We start from the raw sequence: 18,583 nt of genomic DNA, 5'->3' as shown, positions 1-18,583 counted from the left end.
AGGGCTACTGTTCCCAGCGAGGCCCGCGCGGCGGCACCGCGAAGGGAGGAGTGGCAACATGGCGTCTTCGGGAGCTGGTGACCCTCTGGATTCTAAGCGTGGAGAGGCCCCGTTCGCTCAGCGTATCGACCCGACTCGGGAGAAGCTGACACCCGAGCAACTGCATTCCATGCGGCAGGCGGAGCTTGCCCAGTGGCAGAAGGTCCTACCACGGCGGCGAACCCGGAACATCGTGACCGGCCTAGGCATCGGGGCCCTGGTGTTGGCTATTTGTATCCGTCCGTGTTGTAGACTCAAGGGGACCGCATATAGGGGCAGGGGAACAGAGTGTGCAAGAGGGCTGAACCACCCGTTTAATTTTGGGGTAAAATGGGTAGTACTTTCCTTTGTTATTCCTAAGGTACTCTTTTAATTTGATTTATTAATAATAACGGAATTGGGGTTCAGGGTTTAGAAACAGCAGCGGCGGGAAGCCGGAATCACTGATTTGGGAGAGTAACAAGAGTGGTAGAGCAAATCTAGGAAAGGGGAATGTGCATATTCTGTGTGGTTTCCTGAACCTACCTCCCCAGATGGTTACACCTTCTACTCGATTTCCCAGGAGCGTTTCCTAGATGAGCTAGAAGACGAGGCCAAAGCTGCCCGAGCCCGAGCTCTGGCAAGGGCGTCAGGGTCCTAATCTGGATGGGTATTGATCATGTCCAACCTGCTGGAGCCCCTTCACATGGTGGATGATGCCCCATGACCCTGTAGAAATTGAATCCTGCTCACAACATTGTTGGCCTTCTTACTAACCTTGGACCGTGATTGAGCCCAAGAAACCAGGGACTTACGCATTTGGCCAATGTCAAAAGAACAGAACTTTGCCCACTGCACACTTGCTGTGTACAATGACTGAGCCCTTTCTTGTAGTTTGTTTCCTTGTTTGAGAGGTGTGCATGCGACCGTGGCTTTTCCCAAAGTTTCTGACTTTGTGGTTTACCCCCTTCACCTTCCAGGGACGCAGTTGTTACGAGGTTAGACGTGGCAGCTCTGTGCAGTGTTTGAGCCTACAGTGGGATACATAGGGTCAAATTGAGAATAATAAACTGAGTCATTCTCCTGGAGTCAAGTGAGTATGGAGGCTGAGAGGCAGCATATGGCACTTCATGCTGGAAAGCTTCACAAGCAGTAGCTGCAGTGGTGGCATTGCCCCAGGGAGCTGTAAATGTTTAACTAGAATTACTTTTTCCATGAGATCTTTCCACCTGATTTAAGGGAGAGATCACTGGGCAGTTTGAGACTGAACCCACGTCTTAGGGGAAGGAAGGTCACTCTTCTGTCCTCTACCCACAAGAACATACTGTAACTCTACTGCTTTTCCCATCCCCAGAGAGAGGGAGGGAGAGAGAGGTGGATGAAGGGTGAAAGACAAGCAGTCTTCATTCTTTTAACTTTCCCTGGTACCTGCCTATACAGGTCTAGGGTGGGGTCTGGAGGGGATCCTAACTTAGTCAAGTGGATCACTGACCTTGCAGTTTCCTCATTAACTGATGGCAGGAAGCCAGAGGGCTGGGCAGCTTCCACCCCTGCCTCCCATTGTGAAAAGAAAGTCCCTTTTAAATCCTCCCCTGCCTCACCCCACAAGTCTTTGCTCCCCCAATTCCTAAGGCATGGCATATGGATTCACGGCGTTCTTGTTTCCAGCATTTTTATTGGTTGCTGCTAATGTGGTGTGAGCATATCCCCTACACTCTCCCAGCTGGGAGTGGGCCCCTCTAGAAGCATCCAGGCTTGGGTGGGATTGCTTAGTGGTTGACTCTTGGCAGGGGAGGTGCTAGAGATGAAGATGGTAGGCAGCAGAACTAACACCTCCACACAGCAAACAGTTCACATATGTTTGGCTCTTCACTATAATGGAGCTGCACTCTCCATGCCCCCCTGGCCTTCTACCCCTTCAGTGTTGGGATCTTCCTTGCTCAGTTTTGTTGATCAGAAAGCATCAGATTCTGAGAACACAAGCTCCATGGTGGGCCCTGGTGTGGGGGAGATACATGGCTTCTGTTCTGAATTCACTGGAGGGAAAAGAAAAAGTGATGAAGAAACCTCCAAGGTGGGAGGAAGGCGAAGCTGCAGCCAGGTACCATTCCCTGGGCTCTCCCTCCCTTGGGCCCGCCCTCACCATCCTGCCAACATCCCCGGCGAATGTCACCCCCTTGCTTGCCCGCTGCTCCTGGGAGCCGGTGCTGCTGCCACTCAGAGAGTTCCTTCGCATGATGCCTGGGAGCAGGATGGGGGAAGGAGAGCACTAAGTGAGGAAAGGGGAGGTGGGGAGAGGGGGTCTATTCCCCCGGGGCAGACCCCCAGGGCCTGGAGAAAAACAGTCGACAGAAAGGGGTCTCAGGGAAAAGATGGAAGCTGGGTGACTGCAGTCTCACCAGGGCCTGGGGGCTCAGAGCGCTGTAGGCTGTTGCGGCGGGAGGTGGGGAAGCTGCCCTTGGAGAGGCGGCGCTGGCGGCTGGACAGCATAGCAGCTGGGGCCACAATACCCGGTGGGGGCTGCTTCCCCAGCCGGCTGTACAAATCTTCAATTTCTTTTTTCTGTAGTGTCTGTAGTGTTTCCACCTCTGACAAGTGCCTGAGGATGCACGGAGGGCATGAAAGGGCTAGCCACACACCTTGCTCTCCCAGGTTCTCCTCTCACTCCTCCATCCTCCCGAGACTCACTTCTGCCGAAGACTCTGCAGCTCAGCCCAGAACTCCTCATCTTCCCCACTGCTTTCTGACTCCTCGCTGCTCAAACACAGGCTGCTGTAGGAGTAGTTCATCCACACTGGGCTGGGATGGCTCAGGGGTTGGGGGCTGCCCCCAACTTGGGGTTCCTTCCCATCATCTCCTTCCTCCTCAACTCCAGCCCCCAGACCCTCAGCTGCACGGTCGCTCTCAGCCAGAGCTTCCCTGGTCTCTGGCCCGCCTCCAGCACTGTCCTCTGTATCTGAGCTCTCTGAAGTGAGCTGAGGGGTTGAAGGTTTTGGAGAACCAGAGAGAGTGGGGGATGTTGGCTGCAAGGGAAGAGGCTCAGCCGGTTCCTTGGATGAAGTCACTTGGAAACGCCCAACAAGCTGCGGCTTTCCCTCTGTAGGGCGACGAGGAAGAAGGCATGAGGAAAGGAGAGCAGTGACAGGACAGACAGTGAGTAGGGATAATGGCAGGGGAAGGTCAGTGGTCAGAGGCCTTACCTTCAGAGATGGGCGCCAGCCTGGCTTCCCCTGGGAGGGGCCGAGCAGGAGGTGGTGAGGCCTAGAAAGTGGGGGGCCATGAGAAGGGAAGAGTGCAGAGTGGAGTCTCCCTAATCATCCCTCTTGGTTTTCTACTCACCTCACTCTCCACCTCAGCTGTGTGGGGTGAAGGGCTTTCCTGGCCACCAGGAGCAACGGGAGGGGGAAGGGGCAGGCTAGGGAGGGGACTAGGAGGGGCTGGAGGAGACTGGGAAAGGAGCCCAGGTGAGGGGGACAGCAGGGACTGGGCCACAGTCATCACAGCCAGTGAGAAGGCACTAGCCAGAGAAAGGAGAGGGGCTGCTGTGGTGGAGGGGAAGGAAGAAGTGGAGGGGCACGGAGGAAAGAAAGGGGAACTAAGAGTGACCTGAGAACAAGTGGGAGAGAACGTAGGTGGAGAAGTCGTGGGGAGAGAACTCCAGGGACACTGAGAGAGTGGGACCGGAAACTCGGGTGTGCTGGAGGAGAATGGAAGTGGAGAGCTGGTGGGGTGTGGAGAGGGATTTGAGGAGACCTGGGAAGAAATGGGGGAGAATGGGGAGGGGCTGGGATGACATGGGGGAGAAGTGATGGGGAAGATGGGACCTGGGGAAATGGGGGTTCCAGGGGAAAATGGGTTTCCAGGAGACAAAGGAGTTCCAGGAGAAGATGAGGAGGTGGAGAAGGCTGTCCAGCTCCTGTGCTCCAGGGAGGTGCTGCTCTGGAGCTCTTCTGGGAAGGAGGGTATGTTGAGACCACAGTCCCACATGCCCTATGCCCTTCCCAGGAGCAACCCCAGGGGTTGGGATGAGCAAGGACACAACTCAGTACATACCATTGGATGGGTCTGGGAGGGGGACGGGCAGGGCAGGTAATGGTGCTGGCTCCTCCTGAGGCAGAAAAAGGAGTCCGCAGTCACAGTGGGGAAGAGCAGTCTGAGATGGAAGGTGTCAGACCGGGGTTCCTAAGCTAGGACCCATGAACCTATAGGAGTCTGTACATGAGTTTCAAGGGATTCAGAAGCATATGTGCTGAAATGTATAGAGGTAAAAGGGCATGATGTCTGCAACTTACTCTTAAGTGGTTCCGAAAAATATATTATGTATGCACACATACAGAGGGGAGAGGAAGAGACAATGATGACGCTAAGGTGGCAAAACACTAACAAGTGGCAAATCTGGGCAAAGGGTATCCAGTGGTTCTTTATATAATTCTTGCAACTTCTCTCCACAAGTCTGAAATTATTTCAAAATAATGAGTTAAAAGAAAAGTATGTATTGAACAAGTTTTCTAGAACAAGAGTCCATGGCTTTCATCATATTCTCAAATGGGCTAAGAGCCACTGTTTTAGGCCAGGCACGGTGGCTCACACCTGTAATCCCAGCACTTTGGGAGGCCGAGGAGGGCGGATCACGAGGTCAGGAGATCGAGACCAGCCTGGCTAACACGGTGAAACCCTGTCTCTACTAAAAATACAAAAAAAATTAGCCGGGTGTGGTGGCGAGCGCCTGTAGTCCCAGCTACTCGGGAGGCTGGGACAGGAGAATGGCGTGAACCCGGGAGGCGGAGCTTGCAGTGAGCCGAGATCGTGCCACTGCACTCCAGCCTGGGCGACAGAGTGAGACTCCATCTCAAAAAAAAAAAAAAGCGCCACTGTTTTAGGGTCCCAGAGATGAAGAGGAGTTAAATCCAAGGGGACCGCTGAGGGCAGAGAGTAATAAACCCTGGAGCAGAGAGTCCATTTCCCCTGGAAGTGTCCACCAAGGGGTCTGACCTGGGGGCTTAGGGTGTCTTCAGCAGCCTCCATGGGGCCAGTGTCTCTCTTCAACAGGGTCTCCACTCGCTGGATAATCTCCCGAATCCGTCTGAGAAATCCATCTCGCTCCGAAGGCAGAATGAACTCGTTATATACCTTGCGAGGGTCAACAGGATGGGGAGGGAGAGCTTGTTATCTCACTCATCCCTCTCCCCCTGCTTCTGATCTTAAAACATCAGGCTGGGCGCGGTGGCTCACGCCTGTAATCCTAGCACTTTGGGAGGCCGAGGCGGGCGGATCACCTGAAGTCAGGAGTTTAAGACCAGCCTGGCCAACATGGTGATACCCTATCTCTACTAAAATACAAAAATTAGCTGGGCATGATGGCGGGCACCTGTAATCCCAGCTACTTGGGAGGCTAAGACGGGAGAATCACTTGAACCTGGGAAACGGTGGAGCCAAGATCACACCACCGCACTCCAGCCTGGACGACTGAGCGAGACTCCGTCTCAAAAAAATAAAAATAAAAAATCCACCCTTCACACTACTGCTCCTGCCAACCACCAACCTAAAACAAGTAAATACCTATTGTGTTCCAGGCACTGTGTGGTGTAAGGAGAAATACAGCCTAGAAGGAAAGGTGCTAACATTCATAGGATGCGTATATATACCAGCTGCTTTGCGTATATTATCACATTTAACACCACCAGTAACTTTCTGGGGCCCACATTAATATTGCTATGGTAGAATTAAGATAACCAATGCTCAAAGAGGTTAAGTTCCGTCTGCCTAAGGTCACAGGATTTAAACCCACATCTACCTAAAGCCAGAGCCTGAGTTATCTTCACTGCTGCCTCCCATGTTTTGGACACAATTTCTGCCCCATAGTGTTTATAAAGTATAACACACAGGCCCACATACACCCATCCCACACGGTTAAGTCAGAATAAGGCAATAAATGGCAAATGTCACATTCAAATCCATGAATACTTATTGAGCACCTACTATGTGCTGGCATTGTGCTGGGTACTGTGGGAATACAAGGAAGCATGAAACAAGGTCCTAGGCTTAACGAAGCCCAAAACTTAGTGGAGGAGACACATAAATACGTAATTAAACTTACTGCAAGGCAGCCCGTAATACGTAAGGCACTTACAAGTGAGATATAGATAGAAATGTTGTTCCAGGGTTGGGGGGATGGGGGTGTGGAGAGGCAGAGTTGTTTAATGGGTACAGAGTTTCAGATTTGCAAGGTAAGAAAACCCCTGGAGATCTGTTTCACAGCAATGTGAATATACTTAATATTGCTGAACTGTACACTTAAAAATGGTTACGGTGGTAAATTTTATATTTATGGTTTTTTAATCACAATTTTTTAAAATGCTATTCCAAAGACAGAATACCACCCTGGGGATAGGGGGAAGCTGGAGCAGTTTCACAGAGTAAGTCTTTGGAGCTGAACATTGACAGATGAGAAAAGCAATCTCTATTGAGGACCTACCATGTGTGGACACTTCTACATTACACTGTGTCGTATCAGAACATCTTTGCAAAACAAATACTATCATCTGCATTTTACTTACATGCAACTGAAGTTTACAGAGTTAAGAAACTTGCCTAAGTTCATTGGATTAGTAAATAACAGAGCTGAAGTTTGAACTTAGGTATTACATGAAAGCGACCCCTTCCTCTATTCCAGGCTGTTCATCAGGAAGAGAAGAGCAGTCTAGGCAGAGAGAACAGTGTAGTAGCTTTGAAGCATGAAAGGCATGGTACATTATTATTTTTTTTTTTTTTTGAGACTGAGCCTTGCTCTATCACCCAGGCTGGAGTGCAGTGGCACAATCTTGGCTCACTGCAACCTCACCTTCTGGGTTCAAGAGATTCTCCTGCATCAGCCTCTTGAGTAGCTGGGACTGCCTGGCACCATGCCCAGCTAATTTTTATATTTTTAGTAGAGACAGGGCTTCATGTTGGCCAGGCTGGTCTCGAACTCCTGACCTCAAGTGATCTACCTGCCTCAGCCTCCCAAAAGTGCTGGGATTACAAGTGTGAGCCACTGCGCCCGGCCTATTCAATCTTTCTTTCTTTCTTCTTTTTTTTTTTTTGAGACAGAGTTTCGCTCTTGTTGCCCAGGCTGGAGTGCAATGGTATGACCGTGGCTCACCGCAACCTCCACCTCCTGGGTTCAAGTGATTCTCCTGCCTCAGCCTCCCAAGTAGCTGGGATTACAGGCATGCGCCACCACGCCCAGCTAATTTTGTATTTTTTAGTAGAGACGGGGTTTCTCCATGTTGGTCAGGCTGGTCTTGAACTCCCGACCTCAGGTCATCTGCCTGCCTCGGCCTCCCAAAGTGCTGGGATTACAGGCGTGAGCCACCATGCCCGGCACAGCCTATTCTTAAAATAGTGAGGACTCAAGTGTAGCTGAATGTGCTGTGAATTTTAAAGGCTTTGGAATTTGGACCTTACTCTACAACCACAAGTAGCCACTAAATAATTTCGGGTGAATATCAAGAGATCAGATCCAAGTCTCAGGAGAATTCTGCTGCAGAGGAGTGGAGGGTGGACTGGGTAAGGAGAGAAAAGAGGGCAAAGGACTCTGGGTGCATGGGGTGGGGTCACTTTGGCTGTGCAGGATCAGAGGGGACTTGAAAGCCCAATACAGAAGGCTCTACGAGTGAGAGACCCTTAAGGAGGTGGAGGCAGAGGCAGGAAGGCACCCAGCCTTTTCAGAGGCCCATTTTGAAACCAGTGTGGCTGGATGGAAGACTCTGAAAGAGTCAAGTGGTTTGACGGAAGGTGATGAGCCTTGTGTGCCAGGTGATATTGTGTCTTTGTCCTGGACACAAGGTGAATGACATGATGGAGGAGATGCTTTAGAGAGGGCTCCTGATGCCTGGTGTTTCTCCCATTCCTTTCCCTCCTTCACCCCATGGGCTGGCATCCACCACCCCCACTCCACTGAAACTGGTCTCCCACAAAGATCTCCTAACAAAAGCCAGTGTGGTCTTGCCTGAGGATTCATCCTATGCCACCTCCTTGAAACTCTCTCCTCACTCAGTTTTGACTAACATCCTCCTACGTCTCTGGCTTTGTCTCTGTGTCCTTCGATGACCTACCCTCCCGCTTCCCACTCCAGAACTGGTGGTATGCGCTGAGACACACTCTGCAACCCTCTGTGTCTCTGGCTTTGCCGGCTCATCTCCCTTCACTCTCAACTCTGTACTGACTACTCCTCCATCCACATCTCTCCAGCCCTGCCTGACCCATATCCATGGCTATGGAGGGTCTTGTCTTGGCTGTCCCTTCTTCACTCAAGCTCATCATGACCTCCTTAAAAAAAACCTTCTTTCATTTCTAATTTCCTCTCTCCTTTGGTGGCCTACTCTCCTACTCTCCTTTGGTGGCCTACAAGTTGTCCTTGACATCCCTTCTCCCTAACTCCCAATCATATCAACTCAGCAAATATTTATTGAGCATCTACTATGTACTATGTTCTCTACTACGTCAATAGGTTACTGGATTACAGAGTAACTTATTTTCCCGAAACAACCCTCAGATTCACCCTTTCTCCTCTTCCCTCCCATAAGCCACTCTCTCCTTTGTCCACAGATGGCTTCCTGGGTCTACCTCCCAGGTATTTTCCCTTCCCCCTTCCACATCCCATGGCAGATGATTTTCATAAAGCCTACTGTCACGTTACACTGTGCCTTTTTGTTTTTTTGTTTTTGTTTTTTTTTGAGACAAAGTTCACTCTGTCTTCCAGGCTGGAGTGCAGTGGCGTGATCAAAGCTCACTGCAGCCTTGACCTCCCAGGCTCAAGTGATCCTCCCACCTCAGCCTCCCAAGTAGTTGGGATGACAGGCATGTGCCGCCACACACGGCTAATTTTTTAAATTTTTTGTAGAGATAGGGTCTCATTATATTACCAGGGTGGTCTTGAACCCCTGGGCTCAAGCAATCCTCCTACTTCATCCACCCAAAGTGCTGGGATTACAGGTGTGAGCCACTGGACCTAGCCTGCTCTGCCTCTCTATTTATTTATTTATTTATTTATTTATTTATTTATTTATTTATTTTTAGACAGAATCTCACTCTTGTCGCCCAGGCTGGAGTGCAATGGTGTGATCTCGGCTCACTGCAACCTCCGCCTCCCGGGTTCAAGCAATTCTCCTGCCTCAGCCTCCCAAGTAGCTGGGACTACAGGCATGCGCCACCACACCCAGCTAATTTTTGTATTTTTTAGTAGAGACGGGGTTTCACCATGTTGGCCAAGCTGGTCTTGAACTCCTGACCTCGGGTGATCTGCCTGCCTCGGCCTCGGCCTCCCAAAGTGCTGGGATTACAGGTGTGAGCCACCACGCCTGGCCTCTGCCTAACTCTTAACATTGTCTATTCTACAATCTGGGCCCACTCTACCTACCCGGCTTCACTCCCCACAACTCTCCTATAGGAATCTTTACTTCCAGTGATAGTGGTTTCCTCATGAAGCCCTCCCAGCCCCATATTCCAAGACACTCTCTACTTGGAATGCCTTTGCTTATGCTGTCCCTGCACAGGGACACCCTTCATGGCCTTTCCACCCTTCACAGCCTTTCTTGCCCATTTGCCAAGATCCTGGGTAAGCTCATTGCCCCTGCTGCCCAGTCCATCCTTCACCTACAGCCACAGTATTGCACATCTACCAGGCACTTATACGTAGCACTTGTGTGTACCCGGTCAATGTGAGTCTCAAATTGCTCCAGCTGAGAAGCCAAACCTCACTGGATAAACAGAAATCTCCCCCAAAACAAGGGCTGAGACATCTTCAGCGTTACTGTGCTAAGTGTCAACCAGAGATTTAAAAATGCTTGCTGTCGGATCAGTGGGTTTCAGCCCCAGCGGACATCAGGAAGGAGACTCTTGTTCCAGATCCAAACACTCTGTCCTCATCTCTCTCCCCCTCACCATGGCAGCTGCAATCTCTTCCGGGCTGTCCCCATCCAGATCAAATCGGAAGGTCACCATCTTGCTGTTATGGGTCTGTAGCTGGCACTCAACCACTCTGTCATTCTGGTCTGAGACCTTCAGATTCAAAGTCAGCAGAGGGGAGAAGGTCAAGCCCTCTTCATCATGCTGTGTCTCCACCCTACCCCAGCCAAGTGACAGCAGCCACAATGGACTTGGAGATAAGTAGACCCCACCTCTAAAGTCTGGTATTAGAAACCAGACTGGCCGCCTCTTGAGTACTAGTCATACACTGCTTCTCCCGTTTTCTGGGTGACCTCCCCCGCCTCCCCCTGACACTTCCCTCCTGGCCCTGTAGGTTACTCTCTATCTCCTGTACTCCATCCTTACACTAGTGACCCGCAGCCGGGATCGGGGTCTGCGCCGGAGATTCCTCCCTGGGGGTCTCCTCATTTGTCCCATCCCTTCTCCCACATCGCTAAGGCCTGAAGCTGCATCTGAGGCATAGCTGTTAAAGAGAAAGGAGAGAGAATGACTGTCAGAGCAGACACTGGGACCCCAGTGCCCCAGGTGTCTCACCCTGGCACCCCAACTTGTACCAGAACATACCTGTCCCCGGGGGAAAAGTCACTTCCAGGGCCAGAACGTGGAATGGATAGGGCAAAAGCCTGAAACAGGATAAGGGTTCATGAGGTCAGGGGAAGATAACTGTTGAGATCTAGGGAGATGGTGTCAAGGATGCTGGGAGGATATTAGGGAGATGGAATTAGGGAAGAGGAGGGCAAGAATGGTGGATTTCCAGGGACATGGGACTGGATCATGAGATTGGGTTTCACAAGGAGGGAGATAGGTCATAGGCTTGGAATGGCTGGGAGCCCCCCATGCGACCCCCTCTCACCGAGGGCAGGCAGAGATGGGACTCAGCCAGGCTGGATGGCACCCCCCCAGGGGGCTGAAGGGCAGGGTCTGAGGCATCCAGGAAGCCGGAGGAGCTGAGGTAGCCATCAGTCTCGCAATCCGCTGGTTGGGGAGGGAGAGGATCAAAAAAAGGGGAAATAAAAGGGAATAGTGGCAGAGGATGGGGCCTGCCTAAGCAAGGAGGGGCCTGGAGCTGTGGGAGAGTTCCTTCCTGGAGGGAGCTTCATGGCTAGAGGTGGAAGGCAGGGTAAGTGACTGCTGTGGGGGTGAACTTCTGGGTAGGGGGCAGAGGCCAAGGTGTTCTGGGACCTACGTCTCAAGATCAGGGGTGACTTACAAGTGGTAGATGAGTAGCTGGCGTGGCGGAAAAGGAAGGGCTGGTGCTGGTCTGCCTCTGGCTCCTCAGGCTCAGGGGGGAAGACACTGGGGGGACCGGGGGCCATGGGCACAGTTGCTGGTGGAGGTCCTGGCTCTGGTGGGAGTGCCTCCAATTCCCTTGCTTTACGCAGCTTCTCACGCTTTCGCTGGATGGCAGCAACCCGTTCACGTACTGCACGGGCCACTGGCTGGTAATCGGCTTCACAGACCAAGCCCAGAGCCACCTGGAATTGGGGTGGGGGATGAGGAACACAGCTTGGGACCCCCTATCAAAGATCCATCAGGACGCCTTCTTGGGAACTCCAGGATATGGGAGGAAGAAAACCAACACTTACTGATTACCCACTATGTCTGTTAACTGGCAGCTCCTTACATTATCATCACTAGATCCTCCAAACAACCTTGTGGGATAAATCTTACCATTCGATTTTTAGAGATTAATGAAGTAGCTGGTTCATAGTTATACAGTAAGTCAGTGGTTTCCAATGGGAAGAAGAGATGTTTGGCACTATCTAGAGACATTTTTAGTTGCCACAACTGGAGGGTAGGTGCTACTGAATCTAGTGAGCGGAAGCCAGGGGTTCTTCTCAACATCCTACAATGCACAGGACAGTCCCTAAAACAAACATGTCAACAGTGCCAAGGCCAAGAATCCCTTGTCAGCAATGGATCAAGATTTGATCTCAGGTCAGGTTGGGCCGTGCTATGGAGACCTGCTCTAAATTTCTAACACATTCTCAGATTCTTGACCTACCGTAGGTGGTCTCCACCCTTGCAACTGTCATGTCTCTATTAAGAATCCCATACTCGGCCAGGCACGGTGGCTCACACCTGTAATCCCAGCAATTTGGGAGGCCAAGACTAGTGGGTCACTTGAGGTCAGGAGTTCGAGACCAGCCTGGCCAACATGGTGAAACCCCGTTCCTACTAAAAATACAAAAATTAGCTGGGCGTTGTGGCTTTTGCCTGTAATCCCAGCTACACAGGAGGCGGAGGCAGGAGAATTGCTTGAACCCAGGAGGCGGAGGTTGCAATGAGCTGAGATAGCGCCACTGCACTCCAGCCTGGGTGACAGAGTGAGACTCCATTACTCCCAAAAAAAGAATCCCATACTCCCTTCAGGACTTCCTAAGCCAGCCCCCAAGCTTCTGCCCTTGCATCTTATGCCTCTCCCCTTCTACCAGCTTCCATTCATCACCTCCTCATTCCTTTTAGCCGCAAGCTTTGCTGAATGAGTAAAGGAGGTGGGGAAGGGTAACCTGATTTAAAATCTGAACCACCTCAGTTTCAATCCAGCTCTTCCACTTACTTACTTGGGGCCCTGGACAAGGTATTCAACCTCTCTGAATTTCCATTTCCTCATCAACAAGTTGAGATAAAACTGCCCCCTATGCAGGATGGGTAGCAAAGATCAAATGCATGTGAAAGTGCTTTAAGCCATGTACAGATGTAGGCTATTAATGAGCTCTTACTATGTGCCAAGCACTGCCAGGGATAGAAGAATCGATAAAACACAGTCTCTGCCCTCAGGGAGTTTATAGTCTAGTGGAGAAGAAAGATAGGAACTTATTCAGGTTTAAGACAGGACCGATAGTGGGGAGTGCTGTAACCGAGAACATGCTGAAGTGGAAAGAAGCATTTAAGTTTGACTCCAAAGGGGACGGCTTCCCGAAATCGATGGTTCTGATCATATTGGAAGAAAAAGAAAAAGAAAAATGGGGAGGGAGGAAAGAAGGAAAAGATGAATTGGCAAGAAGGGCATCCCAGGAAGAACAGATCAGCTGGAGGTAAAGCAGGGACGCTGGAGGACCCAGGGCTCCCTCTGTAAAGGAAAACTGGGTGTGCGTGCGGGTAAGTTAGGGCTGGAGAGGTAGGGAGACGCTGCAGGAGATTTTGAGAGGGGTGAGGTGCCCCGCCCCCATCGCTGCCACCCCTCCTGCGCCCCATCCCTGTTGCACTGTCCCCTCGAGTCAATGTCCTTTACACGTCCAGTGGCAGCACAGTCTGTCCTCCGCTCACCATCTCCTGTGCCACCTCCTCGGCCGCGTCCCGGCCCAGCTGGAACAGGAACTCGATGGCCTGGTTGTCCCGTGGGCGCCCCCCGCGCCGCGCGTCCTCCATGCGCAGCCAGAGCTTGAGGCCCGGCTTCTCGCCGTCGTCCTCCTCCGCTAGTTCCACGTGCACACCGCGCTCCTCGCGGAAGAAGGCGTGGGCCAGGAGGTCCTGGATGGTGAACCTGAGGGTGACGCGTGGGTGAGCCGAGCCCGCCGCGGCCCGCGGCCCTATTCTACCCACGCTCTGCCCTTTCACCCCCACCTCTCGTTCTTATCCGTGCGGATGCAGCCTTCAATGATCTCCTTCACCTCGGGTATCTTCACCTTGTGGAAGCTGTTCGGCTTTCTGCCCTGGGGAAGGGGTTGCATGACACCTCCCGTCCTCTGATCCCCAGCTCTCGGCTTGACACCACCCCCCACCCCTTACTCCACTCCCTCCTTAGGCAGCTGCGCGTGCAGTTGCAAAAGCCTGACTGCTACTGGAAGATGTGATTTCAAATCCTAATCCCCGCCCCCCCCCCAAGTATTTACAGTGTGATCTTGAACAAGTCTCCCGCTGTTTGTTCATCTGTAAATCGCAGGGTGGAACATTTGCCCCGCTCACCTCACAGGGCAGCTGGAAGGATTGGATGAGAGATGGGATGCGAAATCATTTGTGAACTCTTGGGAGCACCACACATATTATTATTCTAAATAGCGTGTACTGGTGGGGGCGCGTGTGCACTCAATATCCTTCTGTGTTCACCAAGGCGACTCTGTGTCTAGCCTGTTTTCGTGCAGGCAAAGGGCATTGACTGCGGGCTGGCCGGCGCAGGAAAAGGGGAAGTGGCCCTGGAATTGCCTTTCCCGCCAGCCCCATCCCTCTCACCGAAGTGACCTTGCGGTAGATTTGCGCGGCATTCTGGCACTCGGAGTACGGGTACTCAGAGGTGGCCATCTCCAGCATGCACATGCCGAACGCGTACACGTCCACGGCCTCATCGTACTTTTCCTCGTACATCTCGGGGGCCATGAATTCCGGGGTCCCTGTAGGGTCCACAGCAGGGATCAGATTGCTGGGCACTCTGGCCTCGTCCTTCCCACTGGGCTAGGCAGCCCCAGGCAACCCTGCGAGTGCAAGTGACCCCGGCCCACAGTGGGGTTGAGGTGGGTGCCATAGGTCTCCTCAGCTTCCCTGTCGTCTGGTAGTTTTGTGGACCTTGAAGGCCCTTGCTGAGGGGAGGGAGTCCCCAGGTTCTCTTCTGAGGTGGGGGAGGAAGGAATGGCATGGACCCTCCTGGAGAGACGCACCGATGACACTCTTGGCAAAGGAGGCGCGCTTGAGCGTGGCCAGGCCCAGGTCCCCGATTTTGACAGAGCCAGTAGGTCCCGTGATAAAGACATTGTCGCACTTGAGATCCCGGTGCAGGATGGGAGGAACCCGGGAGTGTAGGAAATGAAGTCCCCGCAGGATTTGGCGGCTCCAGCGCTGAAGGACCCGCGGCTTCATCTCCCGGAACCGCCTCAGGTACCTGGGGGAGGGCGCATAGCCAGAGTCCTGGTGGGGGGACACGTCCTCCGGGAAGGAGCCCCCCACTGGGAAGTTCCCCCCTGCCGCACCCTGCTGCCGCCTCCGCATCTTCTGCCAGCATTCTCCTAGCCTATGTCTGCCCGGCCCCAGGGAGAAACTGAGTCAGGGGGCATGGTGGATAGACATGACGTTACCAAACGGGTTGGGAAGTAAATTGATAGATAGGGCCTCGGCCAAGGTGCTGTGGGAGCGCAGGAAGGGATGACTAACTGCCCCAAGCATGAGGGAGAGCTTCGGAGAGGAAATACTTTTGTGTTGCATCTTGAATGATGAGTAGGAGCTCAAAGGTGAAAGGGGGAAGGGATGGAGACTTCCCAGGCAGACAGGACACCGTGCTCAAAGGCACAGAAAAAGCCAGTGACAAGGCAGGGTGGGAGGAGGTGCCAGGAATTTGGTGTGTCTGGAGCTTAGGCTGAAAGTGAGGCTGTATCCTAAGGACTTTGTGAACAGGTGAGCCTGTGTGGGCTTTATTCCAAGGCCATGAGAAACTTTGAAGGGGTTTTAAGGAGGGGAGTGACAGTTCAGATTTTCAACTGGGAAAGATTCTCCAGGCTGCAGGAAGATAGGATCGCTTAGAGGGTGGCAGAGTTTGGGAAGGCCCTTTAGGAGGCTGCTGCAGGGCTCCAGATCAGCGAGATGGCATTGAGGTGGTGGCATGGATGAAGCAGTGAAAGCCAGGTGGGGAGAGGTTAAGGAAAGACTTGGGGACAGACTGATGAGGGGGCAGAGTGGAGAAAGAGGAGTCTGGGGAGACACCCAAGTATTTTACTGGAGTGCTGGGTGGACATTGCCACTCACCGAGGCAGGGACAAAGGTTGGGTGAGAGGGAGATGGTGAACCTGGTTTTACACCTGGATATTAGAGAGTTTGAGGAGCCTGGGAGTTCAGGAAGCAGTGGGCACACATCCCAGCCTCCCTCTCCCCACCCACTCATGCGCAGAGCTCACGTCTTGAGCGTGCCCGAGGTCATGAGTTCGGTGACCAGCACGATGCAAACCTGGCCCCTCAGCACCGACTTCCACGAATCATAGAAGCGGACGATGTTGGGGTGCTGCAGCCCCTTGAGCATCTCCACCTCCTCTGAGAAGCGCTGCCGCTCAGCTCTAGACAGTTTCCGAGTCTGTGGGATGGGGGACGGGTGTCATGTCAGGCCCAGGACACCCACAGAAAGGAAGAGGGACACCTGGAGTGGGGTTGGGGGAAGAGGTGAGGGTTGGAGCCCACAGATGGGGTGGGGTTAATGGGATTACTTGCCCAGTGGGCTGCAGACCCTGAACTCTCCAACAGTCCCGCACGTAAGCTGATCCAAGGACACACCCAACCTGGGCCTGGGGCAGCCCCCTAGACCCCCTGCTGGACACAAGCACCTTTATGCAGCCCGGTCCCAGAGCCCTGAGCTCAATAGTGCCTTTGTGGCTGCCCAGGCCGGCCATGGGGCGGGAGGGGGCACCCGGGGGCTGGCAGTGAGCAGGCAGCAGGCGGGCAGCAGGATACTGCGGGCAGGGAATTGGGGCCGGCAAGGGGGTTGGCCCCAGAAACAGAACTGCTAGATCCAGACGGAAGGCGGGAGGGATATGGAGGGAGGTACTGAGAAGGAAAGAAAAGATCCAGGACTAGGCGCCAGGAGGCTGCCCACCCCCATAGTCGTCCCGCCCCGGCTCCTCTCCCTCCCCTCACCCCCCAATTTGGCTGCCTCTCCTGGCCTGGCCCAGAGCCTGGGGCGCGGCACTGGCAGGCGCAAGGGGCGAGCCCTGTGCCAGGGCTGGAGAGGGACCCTTCCCCTAGGCTCTGTCCCCTGATCTGAATCGGAAGCTTCAGGCCCCAAGTTGACTGGGTTCTCCTAACCCATATGTAGCATGGGAGCAATGGGAGGAAGGTCCCCCTAAAGCCCATGGGCTTAGTGCCTTTAGGTCTGGGAAGGGAGAGCACAGGTAGGCAGTGGGATGAGGAGCAGAACTGGACTCACTCGAGAGCTGGAGCTCCCTATGTCCCCCTCCTCGCAGCTGTGGAGAAGTCCAGAAGTCTGACTGCTCCAGAAGGGGTTAGGGGGCCCTATTCTGCCACAACTGCCCTAAATCTTCTGGAGTTGGAGATGACCCTTGCCCAGCTCCTGGCTTCCCGCATCCCAGCCTCCTGGTCTGCAAATAGGTGGGGGACGGGAGGAGTGAGGGGATCAAGAGGACCAGGGTCATAACTGAGGATCTCAGGACTTAGGGGAGAGGAAGGGATTGCGGGTACCCACCAGCAGGAAACTGACCTGAACTGGCTCCCCTGCCTAACTTCCCATCCTATTTTCCACCTCTCAGGGTTGAGTATGGAGACTTTAAAGTGAGAATGTTCATACCCATGGGGGAGTCACCAGACACCACCTGCCTCAATCTCTCCTTCTGCAGCCCAGAGTCAGCCAGATCATTCAGGGCAAAGACAGCAGAGGTGTCTATAGACATTTGACTGGAAAAATACATGCTTCCCTTGATGCTGTCTCCCCCACCCTCTGTCTGTCATCCTAAGACCTCCAGAGTCCCATCCCAAGGTGCCACCGAGGGGGCTCCCAGCCGCACCTGCAGCTCACACCAGGCCACCTCCACTGTGGTGTCGGTGTCTAGCCCTCGATACACCGTCTTGAAGGAGCCACGTCCAATCTCGATGTCAAACTTGAGGTATCGGCCATCGGGGGACGTTGCCACAGCCTGGGTCTCCATGTCCTCCTTTTCTTCCTGCTCCCGCCGCCGCTCTAGGGCCACAGCTTCAGGGACCCTTAGCGGCTCCCTGGACCCCGGGCCCACTGCAGAGTCCGGGAGCTCGGGACGCGCGGAGTCTTCCGCAGCCTTCACAGGGGCTCCCTCGGTCCACGTGCCCTCGGGGGGTTCTTTGGAGCTAGGCGGTGGGCTCCTCGCGGGGCCAGGACCAGCGGAGTCCGGAGGATCGGGGGGGTCCGGAGCGGGTGAGGCTGGCAGGGACCAAGAGCTCAGCAGCCCCAAGTCGACTGAGCTACGGCGGCTGAGACGAGAAGAGCGCGGCCGGGGCTCAGCCTTCCCGGAGAAGCGGCGCGCTCGGCGAGGAGGGGGCCCGAGGCGGGGCTGCCCCGCGGTGCCAAGAGGAGGCGGGGGCCGCAGGGCCAGGTCGGCCTCAGTCTGGGACATGAGGACGGTGGTCTCCGTGGCCGGGGATGCCAACATGAGGAAGAGCAGGGCGCCGAAGGGTAGAAAATCAGACGGCCGGAGAGGAGGCGGCCTGACAGACGGACTCGCTGGGTGCGCTGCGCTCCGGCTGAGCGGCTGCGGCCCCAGCCCCCAGCTCGGCCTGGCCCCGCCCCCGTCGCCGCCCCGCGGCCCGCCCTTGCCCCCCAGGGCCGCCCCTCCGAGCTGCTCCCGCGGTGCGGATCCCGCGAGCAGCCCCTCACCTTAGTCACCGCCCCGCCCAGCCGCGTCCCCTTCTTTCCCGAGCCCCCGGCCGCAGTCTCACTCTGAGGCCAGAACTGAGTGGGAGACCGCGGAGCATCCTCCCGCACTAAGAGTGAGCAAACCTGTTTGTGCGCGGAGGAGGGCAGGAGAGAACGACACCCGGACCCTAGTGGGGGATTACTTAGGGGGAGGCTACCACCCTCCTGCACACCCCAGATAAGGCAGCACCACCCCCTCCTAACTGTCCGGAGTAGCCCCAGGCCGAACGGAGAGGTCAGTGGAAAGGTCTGACGTTGTTGTCCCTCTGGTCTGCATAG

General features: G+C 54.1%; 2 protein-coding genes across 14 annotated transcripts, besides 7 other annotated features; one reads left to right on the top strand and one right to left on the bottom strand.

Moving 5' to 3' along the window:
- Positions 24-73: an enhancer, noted in NCBI's record as "active region_12225". NCBI's record gives its function as "activates an Ori minimal core promoter by ATAC-STARR-seq in GM12878 lymphoblastoid cells {active_cell/tissue: GM12878}" and the evidence as "EXISTENCE:reporter gene assay evidence [ECO:0000049][PMID:35858748]".
- COA3 (cytochrome c oxidase assembly factor 3) lies at positions 36-1,115 on the top strand. The gene is made up of 2 exons (NM_001040431.3): positions 36-272; positions 573-1,115. The coding sequence occupies exons 1-2, from the start codon at positions 59-61 to the stop codon at positions 677-679; spliced, it is 321 nt and encodes a 106-aa protein (NP_001035521.1). The 5' UTR covers positions 36-58; the 3' UTR covers positions 680-1,115.
- Positions 94-143: an enhancer, noted in NCBI's record as "active region_12224". NCBI's record gives its function as "activates an Ori minimal core promoter by ATAC-STARR-seq in GM12878 lymphoblastoid cells {active_cell/tissue: GM12878}" and the evidence as "EXISTENCE:reporter gene assay evidence [ECO:0000049][PMID:35858748]".
- Positions 284-353: an enhancer, noted in NCBI's record as "active region_12223". NCBI's record gives its function as "activates an Ori minimal core promoter by ATAC-STARR-seq in GM12878 lymphoblastoid cells {active_cell/tissue: GM12878}" and the evidence as "EXISTENCE:reporter gene assay evidence [ECO:0000049][PMID:35858748]".
- Positions 1,674-18,130, bottom strand: WNK4 (WNK lysine deficient protein kinase 4). 13 transcript variants are annotated; one of them, NM_032387.5, is made up of 19 exons: positions 17,424-18,130; positions 15,810-15,982; positions 14,583-14,803; positions 14,161-14,318; positions 13,555-13,643; positions 13,258-13,474; positions 11,198-11,462; positions 10,841-10,962; positions 10,552-10,610; positions 10,333-10,450; positions 9,943-10,059; positions 5,011-5,148; positions 4,072-4,126; positions 3,358-3,968; positions 3,219-3,279; positions 2,707-3,115; positions 2,418-2,617; positions 2,162-2,259; positions 1,674-2,054 (listed from the first exon to the last, which is right to left on the bottom strand). In NM_032387.5, exons 1-19 carry the CDS (start codon positions 18,039-18,041, stop codon positions 2,052-2,054), a joined length of 3,732 nt encoding a protein of 1,243 aa, NP_115763.2. In that variant the 5' UTR covers positions 18,042-18,130; the 3' UTR covers positions 1,674-2,051. The 13 variants fall into 13 exon arrangements, with proteins under 13 accessions (NP_115763.2, XP_047292515.1, XP_047292514.1 ...); XM_047436559.1 differs by having other exon boundaries at positions 2,204-2,259; XM_047436558.1 differs by having other exon boundaries at positions 3,358-3,965.
- Positions 14,074-14,705: an enhancer, noted in NCBI's record as "H3K4me1 hESC enhancer chr17:40936053-40936684 (GRCh37/hg19 assembly coordinates)". NCBI's record gives its function as "activates a minimal SCP1, AML or CMV promoter by ChIP-STARR-seq in naive H9 embryonic stem cells {active_cell/tissue: H9 hESC(naive)}" and the evidence as "EXISTENCE:reporter gene assay evidence [ECO:0000049][PMID:30033119]".
- Positions 14,074-15,810: a biological region, named in NCBI's record as "CDK7 strongly-dependent group 2 enhancer GRCh37_chr17:40934948-40936147".
- Positions 14,611-15,810: an enhancer, noted in NCBI's record as "CDK7 strongly-dependent group 2 enhancer chr17:40934948-40936147 (GRCh37/hg19 assembly coordinates)". NCBI's record gives its function as "activates an origin of replication core promoter dependent on BRD2, BRD4, P300/CBP, MED14 and CDK7 cofactors, with strong dependence on CDK7, by STARR-seq in HCT116 cells {active_cell/tissue: HCT116}" and the evidence as "EXISTENCE:reporter gene assay evidence [ECO:0000049][PMID:35650434]".
- Positions 17,100-18,057: an enhancer, noted in NCBI's record as "H3K4me1 hESC enhancer chr17:40932701-40933658 (GRCh37/hg19 assembly coordinates)". NCBI's record gives its function as "activates a minimal SCP1, AML or CMV promoter by ChIP-STARR-seq in naive H9 embryonic stem cells {active_cell/tissue: H9 hESC(naive)}" and the evidence as "EXISTENCE:reporter gene assay evidence [ECO:0000049][PMID:30033119]".

Source organism: Homo sapiens, chromosome 17 (genome assembly GCF_000001405.40).
Source record: "Homo sapiens chromosome 17, GRCh38.p14 Primary Assembly".
In the NCBI taxonomy this organism is placed as follows: Eukaryota; Metazoa; Chordata; class Mammalia; order Primates; family Hominidae; genus Homo; species Homo sapiens.
This window is presented reverse-complemented; position numbering and strand designations above follow the sequence as displayed.

Bases quoted from the DNA above. Each gene is read 5' to 3' on its own strand.
- WNK4 (XM_017024962.2), bottom strand. From the start codon at position 18,041: ATGTTGGCATCCCCGGCCACGGAGACCACCGTCCTCATGTCCCAGACT. The intron at 14,319-14,582 runs GTGCGTCTCTCC...TGGACCCTACAG, and splicing joins CTTTGCCAAGAGTGTCATCG to GGACCCCGGAATTCATGGCC. The intron at 3,116-3,218 runs GTAAGGCCTCTG...GTCGCCCTACAG, and splicing joins GCTGGCGCCCATCTCTGAAG to AGGGAAAGCCGCAGCTTGTT.
- COA3 (NM_001040431.3), top strand. From the start codon at position 59: ATGGCGTCTTCGGGAGCTGGTGACCCTCTGGATTCTAAGCGTGGAGAG. The intron at 273-572 runs GTATCCGTCCGT...CTACCTCCCCAG, and splicing joins GGCCCTGGTGTTGGCTATTT to ATGGTTACACCTTCTACTCG.